This window comes from Homo sapiens, chromosome 6, assembly GCF_000001405.40.
Source record: "Homo sapiens chromosome 6, GRCh38.p14 Primary Assembly".
In the NCBI taxonomy this organism is placed as follows: Eukaryota; Metazoa; Chordata; class Mammalia; order Primates; family Hominidae; genus Homo; species Homo sapiens.
Window position 1 is genome coordinate 86954280 of NC_000006.12, and position 21461 is coordinate 86975740.

Genomic DNA, 21461 nt, shown 5'->3' on the forward strand with positions numbered 1-21461 from the left:
GCCTCTTACTCTGCTTCTCTCACTAAGACATCTTACTTTATTCAATTACTTTATTCAACTTACTTTATTCAAGGTATGTATATAAGACCCTAGAGGCCTGCCCCACAAATCCCCAGTGTGCATGTCTTCAGTTCAAGTGATCTGCTCAGACAGCTGAATAGTATCTCTTAGCACCAATTTCAATTCCCAAAACAGAGGATTTGATTGTCCCAGATTTGGGGCAGTGATTCATCCCAATTCATCCACTATTTCTGGATGGGGAGCCACAGAATAGATACGTGGTTACTGTGAGGCCCCTCTGCAGAAGAGAGCGGTGTGGGACCCTTCTCAGAGGATGAGAGACTCAGGAGATGCTTTCTATCACAGAATGTAATGGCAAAGCCCGTATGCCCTGAAAAATTCAACTCTCCAAATGAAGTCAGTATTCTGTTACCAAGTCAGTGCCAGGAAAATGCAAGAAAAATTGAAAACAAGCTTGTCATTTTCTTCTATTTTTTTCTGAGTCTGAAGTGCCCGTAGATACTCTTAATTCTTCTAGAAAGCTTGAAAGCAATATTTAATGGAAGTCAAATTTGGTCTGCAGCAGATTTCTTTCTCATTTGATTTTCTCCTTCTTATCTTGGAAACAACCTCTAATGAGAGAAATATTCCAGAGCACCATCTCAAGATGTATCTGGGAAAAGAACCCATTGTACCCCAGAGCAAATCGACCCTCTGCTCCCTGACAATATGCTTGGTTTTCAACAGCTTCCCTGATCCCAGTTCTTATGACTTTACCACACTTTTCTACACTTCCCAGAGGTTCAGCAAGGCTTCCGTCTCCCTGCCGGTCTTGTCAGGGCAATCTCTTCACTGGCACCATGGCTTATTTTCTACAGAACCATTGAAAGCAGACATGGTTCCCATGCAGATTATCTTCCCATTTGCACTTACCAATCATGTGAACTCAGGCAGGTCCACCTCCCTGTCAGCTTGTCTCCTGCAAAATTTAGACTTCATGTATTTTCTGTCACTGCTATTCTGTATGTTTGTTATCAGATCAAATGAGACGCCTGCATGCGGTAGCACCTTAAAAACGTTAGAATGCTCTGTACATGTAGAGAAATGGAACTTCTCTCACAGATACTTGATAGTGAGATAAAGTGGCACGGGTCATTTCATGTCCAGTGTCATCATACAGATGTAAAATCCCACCTTGGAAATGTAGGTGACCACATGTAGAATTTTACCTCTGCCTGCTCATGAGACCCTGTGCAAAGGACTCAGCTAAGTCATGCTCAGGCTTCTGATCCACAGAAGCTGTGAGATAATAAATTTATGTTGTTTAAAGCTGCTAAATTTGTGGTAATTTGTTACACAGCAATAGACAACTAATACAGTGTTCAATCTCAAATGTAAAATAACATTTTACATAACAGAATGCTATGTGTAGGCTTGAGTGAGTGAGAGAGAGTGTGTGTGTGTGTATGTATGTGTGTTCCAAAGGAAACGTATTTTAAAATGAAATACATTTTAACATATGGTTTTCAAAAAGCTGAGAAACTGATGATAAATTTACACTTGTTGCTGCAACATCTCAATATTGTAAACCAAAAATAAAATTCTAAGACCCCCCCAACCAATTGACTGAAACCCCCTCTCAGTCAAGGGCATTCCAAAGTAAACCTGAAAAACTAGTTCAGGCCATGATGGGAATGGGGGATTAGACACACCTCATTATACCCTTCTCTCTTTGGAATTGGGGCACAATGGACCAGCATTAACACTACAACAGAGATCTCAAGACTGACCAAAGAGATTCTTTGTGGCAATAAGGTATATCACAAAATCATAGATAGCAGGCCCTAAAAGAAATAGAAAGTATTTTACCCTGAAATATATTTCTTTGATGTATTTTAAAATGGCCCTGCAAAGCTGTCTCTTGTGGGAGAAATCTACATTCTATAAAGAATCCTCTTCCCTTTCCAGGTCTTTTTCTGATCCCAGAAAGACTAACTAAAAGTCTGGAACCTTTAAAAGTCTGATAAGAAATATTTACCATCTAATCTCTCTGAAGCCTGCTACTTGGAGGATTCATCTGCATAATAAGAACCCTGGTCTCCACAACCCCTTATCTTCATTCAGACATTCCTTTCTATATTGATTCCAGTTCTTTAGATAATAACTTAACACTTTCAACCAATTGCCAATCAGAAAATCTTTAAATCCACCTATAACTGGAAGCTGCCCTGCCACCATCACTGCTTTGAGTTGTTCTGCCTTTCTGGACCAAACCAATGTACACCTTATATGTATCAATTGATGTCTGCTTGTAACTTCTGACCCCCTAAAATGTATAAGACCAAGCTGTAACCCAACCATCTGCGTACATGTTCTCCGACCCTCCTGAAGCTGTGTCATTGGCATGCCCTTATTCTTGACAAAATAAACTTCTAAATTGATTGAGAAAAAAAATTTAAAAAAATAAAAACCTGATTTTCTTGGTCAGAGCTGGGCTACTACTTGCTTGCCATATGATCTTGCACACATTATTTATGGAGTTTTTTATGTTTCACTTTCTGTTTTTTAAATAAGAACAACTCCACTAACTTCAGAGTCTTATGAGAATAAAATGATAAAAGGTATGTGAATATGCTTAGCATACTATTTGGCCATGCTAGAAGACTATAAGGTTAGGTTTTGTTTATTTGTTTGTTTGCTCCTTTCTTGGTGTTCACTGGGTTCAATGGCTAAGTTCTATTACATGTTAACCTTGTCGTTTAGTATAGAAAACAATGTGAGATTTAGCATGATTATTGAAACAGCAAATCTTCAGAAATCCAACAAACCTATGGCACTCAAACAGCTTAGTAAAACCTACCCAACAAAATTTAAGAAGTCTTGGAAGCAGATGGTTTGGGGCATCTAGGCTCCAGCCCAGGGGCATTTTTGCTGGCATTTGTGAGACTTTTCAAAAACAATAAGCAGTCAACATTGTTCAAGGCTCATTTTTTCCCTGCCTTCTGAGGTGACTACTTGAGCAACATCTTTCAGATAATTCTAATCTAAGAAGAATTTTTTATTTTAACCTTTTAAAAAGGCAATAAAATAAGACATCTATTTTTTCTCCAAATAGCTTTGTACGATAACCTCTATTTATTAGGACATTTGAAAGTTTCTTACCATATATTCTAGCCAAGGCCATCTTTTTTTTATGAAACATTGTTAGAATTAAATCCCAGAATTTCAGATGAGCTTTCCCTTACACTGTCATATTTCACCTTACCTCTTAACTTTTAAGGGACTGTCCATGAATACCTGAGCCCCAACATCTCAGTCACTTGGCACTGGAGAAAAATCATAGTGCCACCCACCTATCTTCTGAATCAATGTATCTGAATGTTTAATATTTTCCATTTGTTTTACAATTTCTTACAAAATAAATTATTTTCCCATTGAGGAAAAGAAAGATTTTTATGCATTTGCATGAAAAGGTTTCAAAGATATTGTTAAATGGAAAAAAAGGGCACAGTAAAGTAAAAAATAGCTTGCATATCGAGATCTCATGTGCATGGAAATGCATGGGCAAAAGCCTACAGGAGCACAGTGGTGGATGCTGGTAACCTATGGAAGGTGAGTGGAGTGTGAGCAGAGAGGGGGCCTGTCACCTTTAGTCATATATACTTCCATAATAGTAAAATTTTTTAAACTCAGGCTATATCCCCACACTATTTAATTTTTAAAATTGTTTTTAACTGGGCGTGGGCAGGAGGCATGCATTCCTTGACCAATAGAGGCATTTTTTTTTTTTTTTTTTTGAGACAGAGTCTCGCTCTGTCGCCCAGGCTGGAGTGCAATGGTGCGATCTCGGCTCACTGCCAGCTCCGCCTCCTGGGTTGACACCATTCTCCTGCCTCAGCCTCCCAAGTAACTGGGACTACAGGTGCCCGCCACCATGCCCAGCTAATTTTTTGTATTTTTAGTAGAGACGAGGTTTCACTGTGTTAGCCAGGATGGTCTCGATATCCTGACCTCGTGATCTGCCCACCTTGGCCTCAATAGAGGCATTTTTAATTTACGAGCCCATGGGAGAAGCCCATGTGCCTATACTCAAATGCCAGCTCCTCACAATGACCCCAAACATTCTGTCTAAAGTGCCCTCTCATCTTCCAGTCTGTTCCTGTTTCTGTTTTTTCCCTCATGATACTTGCTACGATCCAAAATTAATAAGTATCTGTTGGCCTCTGTTTTCTCCCAGCTAGAATACAGGCATTATGAGGGCAGGAGTCTCATCAATCTTGTTCAGTTTTCATCTCCAGTGTCTAGAGGAGAATCGAGCATTGAGTAGATGCTCAACAAATATTTGAATAAATATAAGAATGAATGAGACAAATGCCCTTGTGCCATTATTGTCTGCTATAAAACTCTGAAGGAGCAGGGGCTGCAAGCAAAAATGGCAGTGGGCCCAAGTTTTACATCTGCTTCCAAAGTACTATTTCTTATTTGTTAGAGAAGACATTTGTTTCAAGAGATCTAAGAGAAAATTTGCCTGGTGGAAGATCCTAGCAGCCCCAGACTCTGAACAGGAAGTGTCTACCAACCAGATATTGGCCCAGCTCCCACACAGCATAAGACAATGTATTAATCAGGGCTCTCCAGAGAAACAGAACCAATTGCACGTGTGTGTGTGTGTGTGTGTGTGTGTGTGTGTGTGTGTGTGTGTGTACAGAAAGAGAGAGATTGATGTTAAGAAATTGGCTCACACAGTTGTGGAGCCTGGCAAGTTCAAAATCTGCAGGGTAGGCAGGTAGGCTGGAGACCCAGGGCAGAGCTGATATTGCAACTCAAGTCTGAAGACGGTCTAGAGGCAGAATTCCCTCTTCCTTGGGGAAACTCAGTCTTTTTTCTCTTGAGGCCTTCAACTGATTGGATGAGGCCTACCACATTGTGGAGGATAATCTGCTTTACCTGAAGTCCACTTTGAATTTAAGTGTTAATCTCATCTTAAAAAAAGAAAAAAAGAAGAAGAAAAAACACTCAGCTGAGCACTGTGACTCACACCTGTAACTGCAGCACTCTGGGAGGCCAAGGCAGGTGGATCACCTGAGCTCAGAGTTCGAGACCAGCCTGGGCAACATGATGAAACCCTGTCTCTACAAAAAAAAATGCAAACGTTAGCCAGGCGCCATGGCACCTGTATGTAATCCCCAGCTATTCAGGAGGCAGAGGCATGAGAAATGCTTGAACCCAGATGGTCAAGGCTACAGTGAGTGGAGATCCTGCCACTGCACTCCAGCGACTAGTGTTTTGACTAATCTGGGTACCATTGCCTAGCCAGGTTGAAACACAAAATTCATCATCATGGGCAGGATGACGGAACCTCAGCTGGAGCCTTAGCTGTGTAGGTAACACAGAGAGTATCCTGTGGTGAAAAAATTAGAAACAGACATTGTGTGAGAAAGAAGGGGCAAGTTTTGTGTAACATCCTGACAAATTTTGAATCTCTGTTAATCCTCTTTTATGCAAGTATCAGAAGATCACTTCATGTTCAGCCATAGGAGCCCTTTCCTCATAGCCCCATATCAGCCAAGCGCATATAGATAAAGCTGCAGGCAAAGATAAGGCGTCTCTGAATCCCCAGCTGTGTCTGTAGGGACACTCTTCCTTAGTGCCACTATATTCCTCATACTAGTAAGGAAGTCAGCCAATTCTACTCAATGTACAAGTAAGTACATTGAAATGCAGACTATCTAAATAAGCAAACTGAAGAGGCACACTGGGAAAGTTATCCAGATAATTCAGGATAAAATTCAGCAGGTGTCTTGGTCTGTTTTGTGCTGCTTTAACAGAATAGTGAAGACTGGATGATTTATAAAGAATAGAAATGTATGTCCCACAGTTCTAGAAGCTGGGTAACCAAGATCAAGGTGCCAGCATGTAGTGACTAGTGAGGGCCTTCTTGCTGCACCATCCCAAGGCAAAAAGTGGAAGGACAGAAGGGGGATGAATGCTGTGTCCTCACTTGGCGGAAGTGCAGAAAAGAGCAAACCCACTCCCATAACCCTTTTTATACTGACATTAATCCATTCATAAAGGCAGACCCCTCCTGACCTAAACACCTCTCCAAGGCCCTACCACCCAACACTGTTGCATTGGGGATTAAATTTCCAACATATGAATTTTGGGGACACATTCAAACCAGGCAAGTTTGAAAAGCTTATATTTGGGGTTTACATTATTCCACCTGGTGAACTTCACCAGTTAGACTCCATTTATGACACAGCTCAGGTGAATGTTCTGTTATCCCGGTTGTTCAATCAAGATCCATTGAGCTGTAGTGGGTGGGGGAAGTGAATCAGGAGCAAACACTTCAGGAAAGTGAGGTTAAATGAAAGAAAGGCTGAGCTAGGCACGGAGAACCTGAATTCTAGATTTTAACACCTCTCTTGATCATTTGGGACAAGTCACGTAACCCTAAGCCTCAGTTTCCTCTCTGATTCTCCTTTAGCCCTATAGTTTCATGGGATGTCTAATCTCAGACACTCTGCTGGCCATGTGGCCTCAGATCCCTCTCCTAATGCCTAATATGTGTTAGCACCCTTGTGCTTTCAAATATCTGCTACTACTGCTAGTTTTATTTCTACCACTTAAAGAATGGAAAACCCATATTTAAAAAAAATTGATTTCCCCCACAATAGTGTGTCTGAATACAGATTCTGAATTGCTTTACACATATACTGTATGTTTATCTAATTATAAGTAGAAAATAATATTGTGCCAGTGATAAAAATGAAGCTAGGAACTATCAAGAGAGCCTGGTCCTATTTCCAAATACCATTATATGCTTTAGTATTTTGGTTTCAAATCAGCTTCCAATATTTGGGGAGTCAGTTTTTCTTTTTTGATATTTTTTCTGCTCAACTGTTTCAGAAAATCTCTTGTTGCTATGGAAGTCAAATGGGATTTTTCATCTGTTTTAAAATCATCTCCTCATGCCTTTACAATTAAAAGTCATAGCTAATTATAATGCTTACCTACTGAATGTGGATCCCATATTAAACAAAAGAAAATATATGTTCATAATGTCAGGTTCGTAAGAAAAAGAATTTTTTTAATTTAATTATTTTACCAGACTTTAAGTCTTTCCCATTCTTACACATCCCATTTGAATGACACTAAAATGTATAAAATCAATTATATGAGTTTAATTTGCCCAAGCTTGGTATAAAATTTTATTATTCCCTTCCTGAGTATCCGGCTATTCTAATTAATTTTCTCCTCCTTATCAGCGGATTTAATGATTCACTTCCATGCCCCTCTTTTGCCAAGTGCGTCAGCGTGTATTGTTAGCCAGAGGTGTCTCCATGGCTGTTAAGAAGCTCTGACTCGGTGAAGAAACAGAAGCAGTGTGCTGAGCAGGAGAAGAGGGATGAGGTCATGCCTTTGAGCACCGACTATAACCTTTATGTTGCTCTTGGTTTTTGTAATGCACACATATGCACATGCAAATATACATGTGCACACAAAAATGCATGCCTAGCTATATGAATTCTCATGTCAGAAATGAGTGGCGAGTGAAGATCAGAACAGATTTCACATTTTTAACCTAGTCTAAATTCAGCTCCTTTGCAGAACTTCATCTGAGTAATCCCTTTTAAATCTGAGCCCTCCAGTTACTCCAGATTTTCTTAGCACTTAGTTAGTTACGTGCATGCCTCTGCTGTCATAGCAAAGTCACAGGCTGACATCCACAGCAGGGAAGATAAGTAACAAATGCATGAACTTGTGGCACAAGATCAAGCACTGGGTGTACAGCTCATGACTGGCATTGAGGAACATGGTAAAAAAGGAAGGGAAATAAAGCAAGTAAGATTTTTGTTTGAACATTAAGGAGAATTTTTTGGTTAGGTACAGTGGAACAGTTTATAAAATGTGGTAGTATGATCCCCAATCCTGGAGCACATAAAGAAGAAAATAAAAAAACATTTTCCTGGAGTTGCTTGGGTCAGAAATGTCAGAGATGCAGTGCAAATCATCTTATCAGCTATTTGAGAATGGTCAGATGTAGACATGAAGAGATTAACATAATTATTCATTCTATAAATACAGTCATACACCACATAATAATGTTTTGGTCAACAACAGACCACATATACAATGGTGGTCCCATAAGATGGAGCTGGAAAATTCCTATTACCTAGTGCCATCCTAACATCATGGCACAATGCATTACTCATGTGTTTGTGGTGATTTGGTGTAAACCTACTGGGCTGCCAGTCATATGAAAGCATATCACAGGCTGGGTGCTGTGGCTCACACCTGTAGTCCCAACACTTTGGGAGGCTGAGGTGGGCAGATCACTTGAGGCCAGGAGTCTGAGACCAACCTGCCCAACATGGTGAAATCCTGTCCCTACTAAAAATACAAAAGTTAGCCGGGTGTAGTGGTGCATGCCTATAGTCCCAGCTTCTCAGGAGGCTGAGGTGGGAGAATCACTTGAACCTGGAAGGCAGAGATTGCAGTGAACCAAGATTGTGCCACTGCACTCCAGCCTGGGTGACAGAGCGAGACCCTGTCTCCAAAAATAAGATAAAAAATAAAATAAAAATAAAAGCATACCACATACAATTATGTATAGTACATAATACGTGATCTCTGTTACTGGTTTATGTATTTACTACACTATACTTTTATTGTTATTTTAGTGTGCTCCTTCTACTCATTAAAAAAATGTTAACTGACAAACAGCGTTAGGCAGGTCCTTCGAGAGGTATTCCAGAAGAAGGCATTACTATTATAGGAGATGACAGCACCATGCATGTTACTGCCCCAAAGACCTTCCTGTGGGACAAGATGTGGAGGTAGAAGACAGTGATATTGATCATTCTGACCTTGTGTAGTCCAAGGCTAATGTGTATATTTTTGTCTTAATTTTTAACAGAAAAATTTAAAAAATAAACAAAAAAATTTACATAGGAAAAAGCTTATAAAATAAGGATATAAAAAAAGAAAATATTTTTGTACAGCTGTACAATGTACACCACTGCACCTGGCTAACTTTTGTATTTTTAGTAGGGACAGGATTTCACCATGTTGGTGTTTTTTTATCAAGAAGTTAAAAAAATTTAAATACTTATAAAGTAAAAATGTTACAATGAGCTAAGTTTAATTTATAATTGAAGAAAAGAAAATATTGTTTATAAATTTAATGTAGCCTTAGTGTACAGTGTTTAGAAAGTCTACAGTAGTGTACAGTAATGTTCTAGGCCTTCATACTCATCCACCACTCACTCGCTGACTCACCCAGAGTAACTTTCAGTCCCACAAGCTCCATTCATGGTAAATGCCCTATACAGATGTACCATTTTTTTATCTTGCATACTGTATTTTTACTGTACTTTTTTATGTTTAAATACACAAATATCATTGTGTTACAATTGCCTACATTATTTGGTACAGTAACATGCTATACAGGTTTGTAGCGTAGGAGCAATAGGCTATATCACATGGTCTAGGTATGTAGTAGGCTATACCATCTAGATCTGTAAGTACACTGTGATGTTCACACAGGGACAAAATTGCCTAACGACACATTTCTTAGAATATGTCCCTGATGTTAAGCAATGCAGGACTATACTTATTAAGCACCTATTATATGCCCAACTCTCTGTTAGGCCCTGGAGACACAATAAACAGACTCTATTTTCAAAGCCCCCATGGTCTTAGGGGTAGGACAAACAGACAAGCAAAAATTACTCTACAGTTCAGGACATCATTCTAGAAAACCCTAGAAGAGAAGTTGCACTGGGTGCTATGGAGAAGAAGAGAGGCACCTTCCCTGGAGCAACGGTATGCTAGGGAAGTCTTCCTGACAATATCCAGTCTTCTAGTTTGAAAAACAAAATCATCATGTGACCGTGAAGAAAGCTCATATAGCCATTTGCATGACTGAAAAAATATGCGTTGGAATCGTATCTGGGGGCATGGGGCAGATTGCATTACTAACACATAAGACAAATCAGGAATATTTACAATTATCCTTAAAAATCCTACATATTGCTCATAAAGTACTAAGTGCATGAATATGTGCATAGTTTTATGTTGTGGCTATATTTAGTAAGTAATATATATGCCTAAATATGCCATCCATGCAATAAATGTAAGAATCACACTCTGTGGCAAGATGCTCTCAGTGTGAGACACAAGGAAAATGTGATAGCAGGTGATATACTCATTTAGTGATATAGCAGAACTGTCTGCAGTACTTAAATTCTTTCTCTCTTTCTCTGCCTTTATATTTTCTTTCAAGCATGGGTGGTTACATTTGTCTAAGTTAAACCTCTCTTTATAACAGTAAAGTTGTAAACTTTGTCTAAGCTGTAAACTTCTCCTTACAACAGAAATAAGTTACAGTTTGAACAAAGTTTTTGAAAATTTTTTAAATCATCTTAAAATAATGATCCACAGTACTGAAGAACTCAATGAAAGAGTAATTACAAATTGCTAATGTTTATTAATTCTTAAGGTTCCTTATATTTTAATGCCTTGCAATAATGAATTATTTAAATCATAGGAATTATAACTTGCACATAAAATTATAGTCAATAATTTTAAATTAATAAATGAAACAACATAGTACTAGTAAAAGAAAGAAAAAGGAACATATTTAGAGATATATTCTTCAAATTTATTGAACTTCATTCACCCACAGATTTTGTTGTTCGAGCTGTTGCTTCAGAACCAAATCTGCTCAATGAATATCACCTTCTGCCTCATTTCCCTCATCTTTATAGGTCAAATTCCCTATCACTGCCTCCACTCCATGCCATATGTGGGCTTCCAGACCAAATCTGACTTGAGGGACTCAGCATCCCGGGGCTTTCCACCTCCTTCACTGAAGCCACCTGAGGGGCTCCTCCGTCCATCCTGGGCATGCTCACTGCTCCTCTGACAGAGCAAGCCATTGACTTGAAGCAGTTCTCAGAGTCTCACCGTCTCTGCAGGAGTGTTCCTACCTGATAATGAGGCTCTCACTCCTGGCATGGAATCTATCCCACTCCCCCGACTTTCTATGAGTTCCAGTTCAGAGGTTCTCAATGATTCTCAACTGAGAACACTAGAACTTCTTAGTACAGTGGTTCTCAAATTTGGTTTCACGTTTTATTCATCTGGGAAGTTCTGTATTTTTTTTTAATACCGGTGCCTAGCCATCACCCACATAAATTCTGATTTAATCGTTCTGGAATAGGTTTGAGTCATCAAGAGTTTGTAGAAATTTCCCAGGTGGTTCTAATGTGCAGTCAGGGCTGAAGACCACTATCTTTGCAGGCTTCTTGCAGGCCTCACCTTCCCAGTCAATGCCAAGAGCCAAACCAGTCCATCCAGGGGTCTACATACACACACACAGACACACACCAAACTTGCTATAAGTAAATAGCTCAAGGAATGATAGCAAATATATGGTCTTCCTTATTCTAAGTGAAGTAACTCAGGAATGTAAAACCAAACACTGTACGTCCTCACTCATAAGTGGAAGCTAAGCTATAAGGATGCAAAGGCATAAGAATGATACAATGGACTCTGGGGACTCGGGGGAAAGGGTAGGAGGGGGCTGAGGGATAAAAGAATGCAAATTGGTTATAGTGTATACTTCTCAGGTGATGGATGCATCAAAATGTCAGAAATCACTACTAAAGAACTTATTCATATAACCAAACACCACCTGTTCCCCAAAAACCTATGGAAATAAAAAAGAAATAGGAATTCTCTAACACCCACAAAAAAAAATAGATGGTCTTCCCCTATATCTAAGTTGTTCTAGTTGATCCAGTCTTTCTTGGAGGGTGGTATAAAATGAAAGGATGGGTGGTTTCAAATTTTTCAGACTCCGAAAAAAAAATGAATACAGGATCTGGGTGGGAAATAATATTACTAAGAAGAGGGAAGAAGGAAAACAGCTGAAAATAAAGTCAGGTTAAGTGATTGAGTCCAAGGTAAAATGTTATAACATAAGAAGAAAGAGAAAAGTAAGAAGGAAATAATTGAGATATTTTAGGAAAGTTAATGTTATTTAAATGAACAGACTTACAAATAAGGAAACTCTCCATCCAGTTATTAGCATCATCCAATGACTGAGGCACTGTGGATAATGCAAAGTATACAGGTCCTGAGCCAAAGTGGACAGATGGAATCTCATCTCTACCTCTTTCCAGCTCTGGAATCTTGGGCAATTGTGGGAGACTTTCCAAGATTCCCACAGCAAGATCTTTTCTCACACATTATCTTCTTACAATATGAGATTGAATCTCCTCCTGTTTTGAGGTAGGATCTGTCCTTCCCATCCCTTGAGTCTAGGAGGTAAGTACAGGGGTGTGTAAGACGGTGTGGGAGCTGAGAAGGAACTTGCTGACATGTGTTTGTTGGGGACTGATTCAGAAAAGAGGTGATGCTCAGTCTGAGTATGGAATGCTGAGATGGAGTTTGCCAGGCAGAGAAAAGGTATTTCAAGTAAGGATAACCAACATATCTGAAGGCTTGAAGATACAAATGTGCGTTTTCATTACACCAGGGCTTCTGAAACTCAGCTGCATGGACATATTCTTAAAAGATTTAAAGAATTTTTATTATTTTAAAGGGTTAATATTTTATTCAAGTTTATTGAACAGATATAATTCTTCATAACCAGAGACAATACAAGGCACATAAAATGCACATATTTTCTAGAGAAACACAGAGCTTCTGAATTGAAGGGGACCTCGGGATCTTTTATCTCAGCCCCCATGTACCCATGTGCCATGGCTGAGTGATATAGTATAATAAGCAGAAAGACTGTGAAACCAGACACATAGCTAAAGAGCAAGTGCAATTAAAGGTTAAAATTAGATTATTATTCCTTTTGATGCCCTTCCCCCATGGCATATCACAAAACATAAAAGCAAAGGCAAGGGAAAAAAACAGCAACTGGGAAGACTATACCCTCTAGCCAACCTATCACAATTATAATGTGGTATTTGAAAGAAGAAAAGACATTTCAAAAGGGCACCATTATTAATGCCACCAAGAAGGGATTGGAAAGTTGCAGTTTAAATCATTGATTTTGTGCCAGTTCTCTTGTTTATATAAATATCAATTCTCACTGTGAATTATTGCACCTTTATTTAGTTAGGAATACATTTTTAAAATGCCTTGCTAAAAGGTGTGATTCAATGGAGAGAAAGTATTATCAAGTAGTGCAATGATCCATAAATAGCTATTATTATTATTATTTAACATTCGTTAAACACCCACAGTGAGCTAAGCACTGTACCAAACTTTGGGAGGATGTGTTTCTTACTCTGACGAGGACAGATTAAATATGCGAAAGAGAGGAAAGCTTAGGATCAGGGAAATTTATTTTTCTACTCCAACATTTCCATGTCAAATTTCCACTTGTCAAATTAACAAAATTCAAGATATTATAATAGTATTAATAATAGTTATTTCTTGTGTTCAGTGTTTTTTACATTACGAAGTGTTTTATAAACCTATCTCATTATATAACTTGGCATATAGTCTCTGGAAGATGTGAGAATAAGAGAGGTAATTTTATTTCAAGAGAAGCATCAGCTGATTTGTTGGAGCATGAAAGGGCAGTCATACTGAAGGAGAGGGGAGAGTTTTTTTGGATAGGTAGTATATGCAAAAAAGAATTGTTCCTCTCACCTGGCTTTCAGCTATCAGTTTCCCTCCCTGAAAGCAGTCACTGTAATCATGTTTTTGCATATCAATCGAGATAATAAATGAGTTTACTAACATACAGTTTACACATGTGGTATCACACTATGTTCACTGTTCTGCACCCTATTTTCTCTTACATTTTGGAGATTATTTCATGCTACATTATTATTTTTAATGGTTGCATCCTATTCCATATATAAGTGTACCACAATTTATTTAACTGGTCTGTTATTAAAGCATATTTATAGAAATTTTGTCACAATTTTTGTTTCTGAAAAATTCTGCTATTACAAACAATAATTAAATAAGTAGCTTTGTAGAAACACCTCTGCAAGTATATATGTAAGATAATTTCCTATAAGTGGAATTGCTGAGCCAAAGTGTATGTGCCTTGGTAATTTGGTAGTTGCTGCTAAATTCCCTCTGGAAAATGTATACTGGCTGCAATTCCTAGCAGCAATGTATGAGTGCCTGTTTCCCCACACTGTCACCAACACAATGTGTTATCAAAATTTGAGATATTTCATAATCTGATGAGTGAATAGCAGAATCTCATGGTAGTTTCATTTGCATTCCTTCTAAGTATAAGATTGCTTAAGCATTAGTTCATAGTTTAACAAAAACATTAGTGGTTCCTTTTCTGTGAACTCTATTTATATTTTCAGTTCTTTTATAGGTGGGTGTTCTTTTTTGAATTGGTTTTTGGCAACTCCTTTAATATTGATGAAATTAGTCCTTAATACATAATCTGAATTGCAAATATTTTTCCTAGTGTGGCATTCGTTTTCATTAATGGTATTTTTACGTTACAGAGTTATCTAGTTTTAATAACTTAGTGTATTAATCAATCTTTTGTGGCCTCTAAGTTTTGTTTCATGTTCATAAACATCTCTATTAACACAAGATTATTTTTTAAAAAGAAACTTCCTAGTTTTCACTTATGATTTTTTATGTAAATTGTTAATACCTTTGGTATTTATTTTATTATGAGGTAGGGATCTAACTTTATTTTTTTAATAGATGACTATTAAGTGGTCCCAACTCTATTCATGAATAATTCAACTTTCTTCCATGAGTTTGAAATACTTCTGTCATATACTAAATTCCCTTGTAGGGGAAGTGCTTTGTAAATGCCATCATTATTCAGTTTAGAAACGCAGACATTCCCCTAGGTTAATTCACTAGAGTTGATGGTTGATAATAACCTACTGAATCCAAGCAGATGTGTGGGGCAAGAAACACAGAAACAGCAATATGCAGGAAGCAGGAGGGGTGCCTAGTTGGAATTAAGAGAGCAAATAGGAACAGAGGAAAAATAAGATTAAAATGTCAGAGAAAAAGTAGGGACAACTCCAAAACAAATACTTTCATGATATAAAAGGTAATGAGAGGACACCTACTCCAACTGCCCTCCTGATAAAGTTCAAGCTGCATCACATGAACTCCAGGACTTTTCTGGTCTGGTCTCTACCTACCTCTCTAGCCCAGCGTAGATTTCTCACTAATTATCTTTCAGGTTTCAGCTTGAACATTATTTTCCGCCATGTACTTCCAAGACTTGGCAAAGAATGAATCAAGTGTTCCTTTTTTGGTCCCTGCAGCATTCTGTGCATTGTATTGTCTGGTCTCTTTCACCTCTGTTGTGGACATTTTTCTTCACTCCCAGCTTTTAGTCATCTCTGTCAGTTACCAAGTTTCTCTCTGGATGACTTCTTCTCTTACACTAAGCCCACGTGCTTCTGATGGCACTGACTTGACCCCATCCCTGAGGTCCCACACGTGACCTAGGCAAAGCTGCTTGATACGAGTCACTCTCCACACCCCAGCCACACCCCAGTGAGTGGTTCAGGGATTGGCATGTGCCCAAGGAGAGCTAATGTGACACAGTGGAACTTGGCCTGGGGAGCCTGAATGAAAACTCAAACCAGAAGTCATCTTACAACAACGGGGGTCTACAGAGTGGACCAAAAATGAAGTAGAACCAAGAAATGGAGGGACAGGGAAAGCCATCTGAAGCCCTGGATCAAACTGGAAACCAATATCATCCCTGGATTATTTCATTACTAATAAATTCCTTGGTTTTCTTCACATTGTTTTAAGCTCAATTTTCTGTCACTTCTAGAAAACGACTGCAACTTCTTAACAGCTCCTGAAGGTTGTTTCTTAAGGGAAGAAACTGTGTCTTAATGCTATTGTATTCCCAGGGCTCCATTCCTGGAGCACAGCAACATTCAATAAATATACAGGGAAGAAAAAGGAATAAATAATACGACAAAGTTCTTTTAAATCCTAAAGTAACAACTGCTTCCAGGTATGGATATTCTACTTATGGAAGATCACTGAGTTGACTGATGGCAGAATCTGGATTCAAATCTAGGCTGACCCGGGCCCAAATCCTTGGTTTGCTCACCTGTAAAATGGCAACGCTTTGTGGTTTGATATTAAAATGGTGATGATACCCTCTTTTATTGCCGGAACCAAGGAGTGTGCCAAAGAGAAGAAGGTTCCTGCTTTGCCAAAAACCCTCAAGAAAAAGCAAAGAAGTTTTGCAGAGCTGAAGATCAAGCACCTGAGAAAGAAGTTTGCCCAAAAGGTGCTTGTAAAGGCAAGGAGAAAGCTTATCTGTGAAAAACTGAAGCACTTTCACAAGAAATATACACAGATGGACAGAATGGAGATTCGAATGGCCAGAATGGCAAGAAAAGCTGGCAACCTCTATATACCTGCAGAATCCAAACTGGCATTTGTCATCAGGATCAGAAGTTCCAATGGTGTGCACACAAAGGTGTTCTGAAAGGTATTATTGCAGCTTCTTCACCTTTGTCGGATCTTCAGTGGAACCTTTGTGAAGCTCAACAAGCCTTCAGTTAACATACTGAGGCTTGTAGAGCCACATATTGCATCAGGGTACCCAAACCTGAAGTCAGTAAATGAGCTAATCTACAACAGTGGTTATGGCAAAGTCAATAAATTAATCGCCTTGACAGATAACACTTTGCTCAATCTCTTGGCAAATATGGCATCATCTGCTTGGAGGATCTGATTCATGAGATCTATACTGTTGGAAAACACTTCAAAGAAGCAAATAACTTCCTGTGGCCCTCCAAATTATCCTCTCCATGAGGAGGAATGAAGAAAAGACCACTCATTTTGTAGAAGGTGGAGATGCTGGCAACAGAGAAGACCAGATCAACAGGCCTATTATGGGAATGAACTAAGGTGTCTACCATGATTATTTTTATAATCTAATCCATTAGTAAACAGTAACTGTTTTCAAATTGAAAAAAGTAAAATGATAATAATATAACAGCACATATCAAATACTTATTCTCTGTTAGAACTGATTATTTCACACCTTTTCTCCTGTAGCCTCACTGTTCTTCAGAAACTTTATGGATTATAAAAACCATGAACTCTCTAAACTCTAAAAGAAAGGCATCATGGATATGAGCAATTACTCTGATTTCCGCAAATAAAATTGTTTCATTTAGCTTCCAATTGCCTCTGCTAATGAGAGAACGTAAAATTGTGGATAATCAAAAGTCATTGATATGTGTTTGGAGACCTTGTTGTATGATGAGTTCAGCAGTAAATTTTCCTTGCTAATTTCATTTTGCCTCCAGTGGCAAAAAAAAAAAAAAATGAGTTTGGATTGTCTGAGCATATGTTAACTGGGTGATGAAAAAGATAATTATTGTGCTGGACATGAACAGAAATCATTTTATTTTTTAATTTTATTTTATTTTAGATTCAGAGGGGATGTGCAGGTTTTGACATGGGAATATTGCATGATGCTGAGATTTAGACTCTAGAGATTCCATCGCCCAAGTAGCGAACACAGGTAGTCTTTTGGAATCCCCAGTGTCTATTACTTCCATCTTTGTATCCATGTATACCCAATGTTTAGCTCCCACTTATAAGTAAGAACATACAGTATCTGGTTTTCTAGAAACCATTTTTAAATGTCCTTAAAATTTACTTAGTGTAATCTACAAGGCAGATAACCCACAAGCAGATAATTGAGGGGTGAATGTCAACTGAATATAAGAAAATGTTTGTTCTATTGCATTATTATGATTTTAAACAGAGCATTATAATTTTTTATTTTGCAATAATTAAAAGCAATCTTACCTACTTTAGTTGGTGGGATTTTCATTAAGTGTAAAATTTTATATCACTTGAATATTCTCATGTTTCAATTGCCATCTTAAAATAGCACAAATAATGGCTGAAACATTATTCATTCTATTCATAAGTTAATGCTGCTTAAATTCTGTCAGTAAAATGTATTAAAAATTCTTTATGCATTTTTTCATCCCTTACATTCTTAGCTATGCAGGGGTTAAAGGTCATGCAGAATACTTCAAGGTATTGTTTGGGTATTTTCAGGGGAAAAAAAAGGTTACCTAAACTGAGTGAAGTAACCAACTTTTACAAGGCTCTTCTCATCTCATTACAACTGGTGGTTGTACACATTGAAATATTGTTGTATGGGGCAGTTTTCCAAGTTGTATGAAAAGCCTTGAAATATTTAGCATTTTACTCTATTACAATTTGAGAAATTATATTAAAAAATAAAGAAACAAAACGATATATGTCATTGCAGCACTATTTATTACAGGTGGAAAAATTCTAAATTTCTAATAATAATGGCATATCTGTGACTTTAAAAATAATATTTCAAAGATTATTTCATAGCCAAACAAGCTAATTATAATATAATTGTTTTTAAGTCTTAAAAAAGGCAGGGAATTATCCCAGATATCTGTATGAGTGTGTATGCGAGTTGGGGGAACTCTGGAAGAAAATCTGCCAGTGATTACTGGGGTTATGCCATATAGATGATTTTTACTTCTCATTTTCAACCTGCCAAATCATAATGAGTTTCTGTAATAAATCTGTATAACTTTTATCAGAACAAATTCTGTTTTCATAACTAGATCCTAGTTCCCAGAGCAGGCAGATTAGGTAAACAGCCCTCTTTACAAGATGGTTTCTAAAAAGAGGCTTGAACACAGAAGCACGTTCTACCACTGCTGTTTCTAGTTAGCTAGTTCTTTATTACAGTTGTATTTCACAGCTTAGTCTATAATATAGAAATTCTCTAGCAAGGTTGGATACCTCCTTACTATTTAGTAGGAGGATTTACTTTCCTGGGGGGTAAAAACTGTATCTTCATTCTACCCTCCACCTTCTCCTTTTAAATCCTTGGCTTTTAACTCCACTGTAGGTTCTATGCTCCTTGTCTGGAAGCTGGAAGACCTATTAGGAGGCTGTTGCAATAGTCTGAGCAAGAAATAATGAGCCAGAACAAAGGCAGTGGCTGTGTGTGTGTGTGTGTGTGTGTGTGTGTGTGTCTGTGTGTGTGTCTGTGTGTGTAGCTGAGTGGGAAATTCAGTAAGTCTGAGGCTGACAGGGAACGCAGGAGAGGGGATCTCTCCCCACTGCTGTGCTGATTACAGCTATACCCCGCTCCATAACCTTGCAGCCACCAACTCTCATAAAATCTACCAATCAGACCTAAAAGAGATAGAGCACTGTAACCACAAATGTCCTGGCCATCAGCATAGAGACTTTCCAAAAGACCCGCCCCAAATACATATGTTCTGTAGGGTCTTAGCTCACCCTAACTTAACATTTGCTTCATTTTAATAGTAAAAATCACAGCCCAGGAAGGAGATTTAAGATACTAATGAGACATAGGACATATAAAGAAGCATGACAAGAGACCGCACAGGTGCAGCCAACAGACCACTGCAAACATGCAATAATGTTACCTGGAAGAGAGCTTAGAAAGAATACAAGTTCAAGCTAACCCACTTTCAGGCAGCCAACAGCAGATCTCTTTCTGCTGTAGTTTCCCTTTCTGCTCCAGGTGAAAGCCGCAATAAACTGCCTTGCTGAAGCCCATCTTAGACTCTCCATCAGTTTCTATTTTCTGAGGGTAGAGAACCGACTGGCCAGTCACAAGTCCACACGGCCCATGTGTATTCTCTGCCTAGAATAAGTCTCCTTCACCTCTGGTTGACCAGATCCTTCTATCCTTCAAGTTCCCATTCAAACATCTCCTTCTCCACAAAACCCTTCTATACCCACAGCTGGAAGTAATTTTCCCTCCTTTGATTTTTATGTTTTTACCTTTTTCATGTATGTATATATTTTTTTATTTTGAAACAATCAAAATTGCAATACAGAGAACTTTTTTAAACCACTTGAGAGTAAATTGCCAGCCTAATGCTCCATCACAGCTGAATACTTTTGTGTGTATTTCCTGCAAGAAATGAGACATTCTTTACATAACTACAGTACAAACTTCAAAATCAGAAAATTAATATTGAAATATTAATGCCATCTGTTCCTCAGTCCAGTAATGTTCTTTATAGCAAAAGAATCCTGTTCAGAATCAAGTGTTGCATTTAATTATCATCTCTTTAATCTCATTCAATCTGGAATGGGGTCTCAGTCTTAAATTTCATGACCTTGACAATTTAGAAAATACAGACTAACAGAGTACTCATCAATTTGGGTTTTCTAGTGTCTCCTCATGACTAGATCCAGTTTATGCACCTTCAGTAGAAATATCACAGAAGTGATGATTTGTTCTTATTAAATGGTGCATGATTGCAATTTGTTCTATTATTAGTTATGCTCACTTTGATTGCTTGATTAAGATGATTTCTTCCAGTCTTCTCAACTTTGAAGTTATTCTTTTCCCCTGGGTAATTAATGATATTTTGTAGAGATATATTTTGAAACTTTTAACTTATTCATTCACTTATCTTTTGTCAGTATGGACTCACTGTTTATTTTATTCTATAAGCTCTAATCCATTACTATCATTATTTATTTTTAACCTGAAATTGACAAGATTTGGCCAGCAGAAACCCCTTCAAAGTGGTTCCTGTGTACTTTGATACATCCTCACCATTCTTTGAGCATTTCTTTGCTTTATGTTACAAGATGTTCCAAGATCATTCGCATTTTCTCTTCCCCCAACCTGGACTCATCCATAGTTCTACAAGGACTCCTGGTTCCCTGAAGAATGGTATTTAGAAACCAAGGTCTGAGTCCTAGGAGTTTTTATTGCATTTGGGGTGGTACTGCTCCGAAGACTGCTCAGTGCACAAAACTTAAAATCATGGGAATGTATGGAAGTGCACACATGTATAAATCCACACGTTTACATCAATAGTTATTATCTACCTGTAGATACTGAAAATCATGAGTTCACACTCAAAGGTTCCAACTCCATTGAGTTTATTCCAGCTTTCTCCCTTTCCATATATGCAATTCCTATTTCCAATAGTGAAAAACCTGGCTCCCATTATCCTTAACATAGTTACTTACTTAAACACTTCCATATATGTCTCCCATCTTTGGAACTATCAACTTCTCACATAAATATCCTCCTTATTCCACTCAGGTCATGATTGCACATGGACATCCTCTCCTGTATGTTCAGTCTCTGAAACCCATGTTCAAGTCACTCTCCCCTACCGCTCCATCTATATATTCTCCTAAGCCTGTGCATTCCCTGAAAATTCCATGCCAGGCCACCCACCCCCTGTGATATCCTTGTCACCCTGCTTGGGCTCTGTTACCCACTTTGGACTATCCTATATGTGTACCCTCCTCACTCTACCAGGATGCCCGTACATGGACATCCTCTCACTCTGATTACAAATAATAAAATTTTTTAGTTAAAGAAAAAAGAGATACTGGTAGGATTTTTAGTCTAGGAACATCCTAATACCTTAAGGTCCTTG

The 21461-nt window shown here is 38.2% G+C and overlaps 1 protein-coding gene and 1 pseudogene across 2 annotated transcripts in view, besides 1 other annotated feature; both read left to right on the forward strand.

Moving 5' to 3' along the window:
* Window positions 1-21461, forward strand: part of HTR1E (5-hydroxytryptamine receptor 1E) — a 79152-nt gene that overhangs the window by 16752 nt on the left and 40939 nt on the right. The window lies entirely within an intron of this gene.
* Window positions 15017-16216: an enhancer, noted in NCBI's record as "P300/CBP strongly-dependent group 1 enhancer chr6:87679014-87680213 (GRCh37/hg19 assembly coordinates)". NCBI's record gives its function as "activates an origin of replication core promoter dependent on BRD2, BRD4, P300/CBP, MED14 and CDK7 cofactors, with strong dependence on P300/CBP, by STARR-seq in HCT116 cells {active_cell/tissue: HCT116}" and the evidence as "EXISTENCE:reporter gene assay evidence [ECO:0000049][PMID:35650434]".
* On the forward strand, window positions 16155-16979 carry RPL7P29 (ribosomal protein L7 pseudogene 29; annotated as a pseudogene).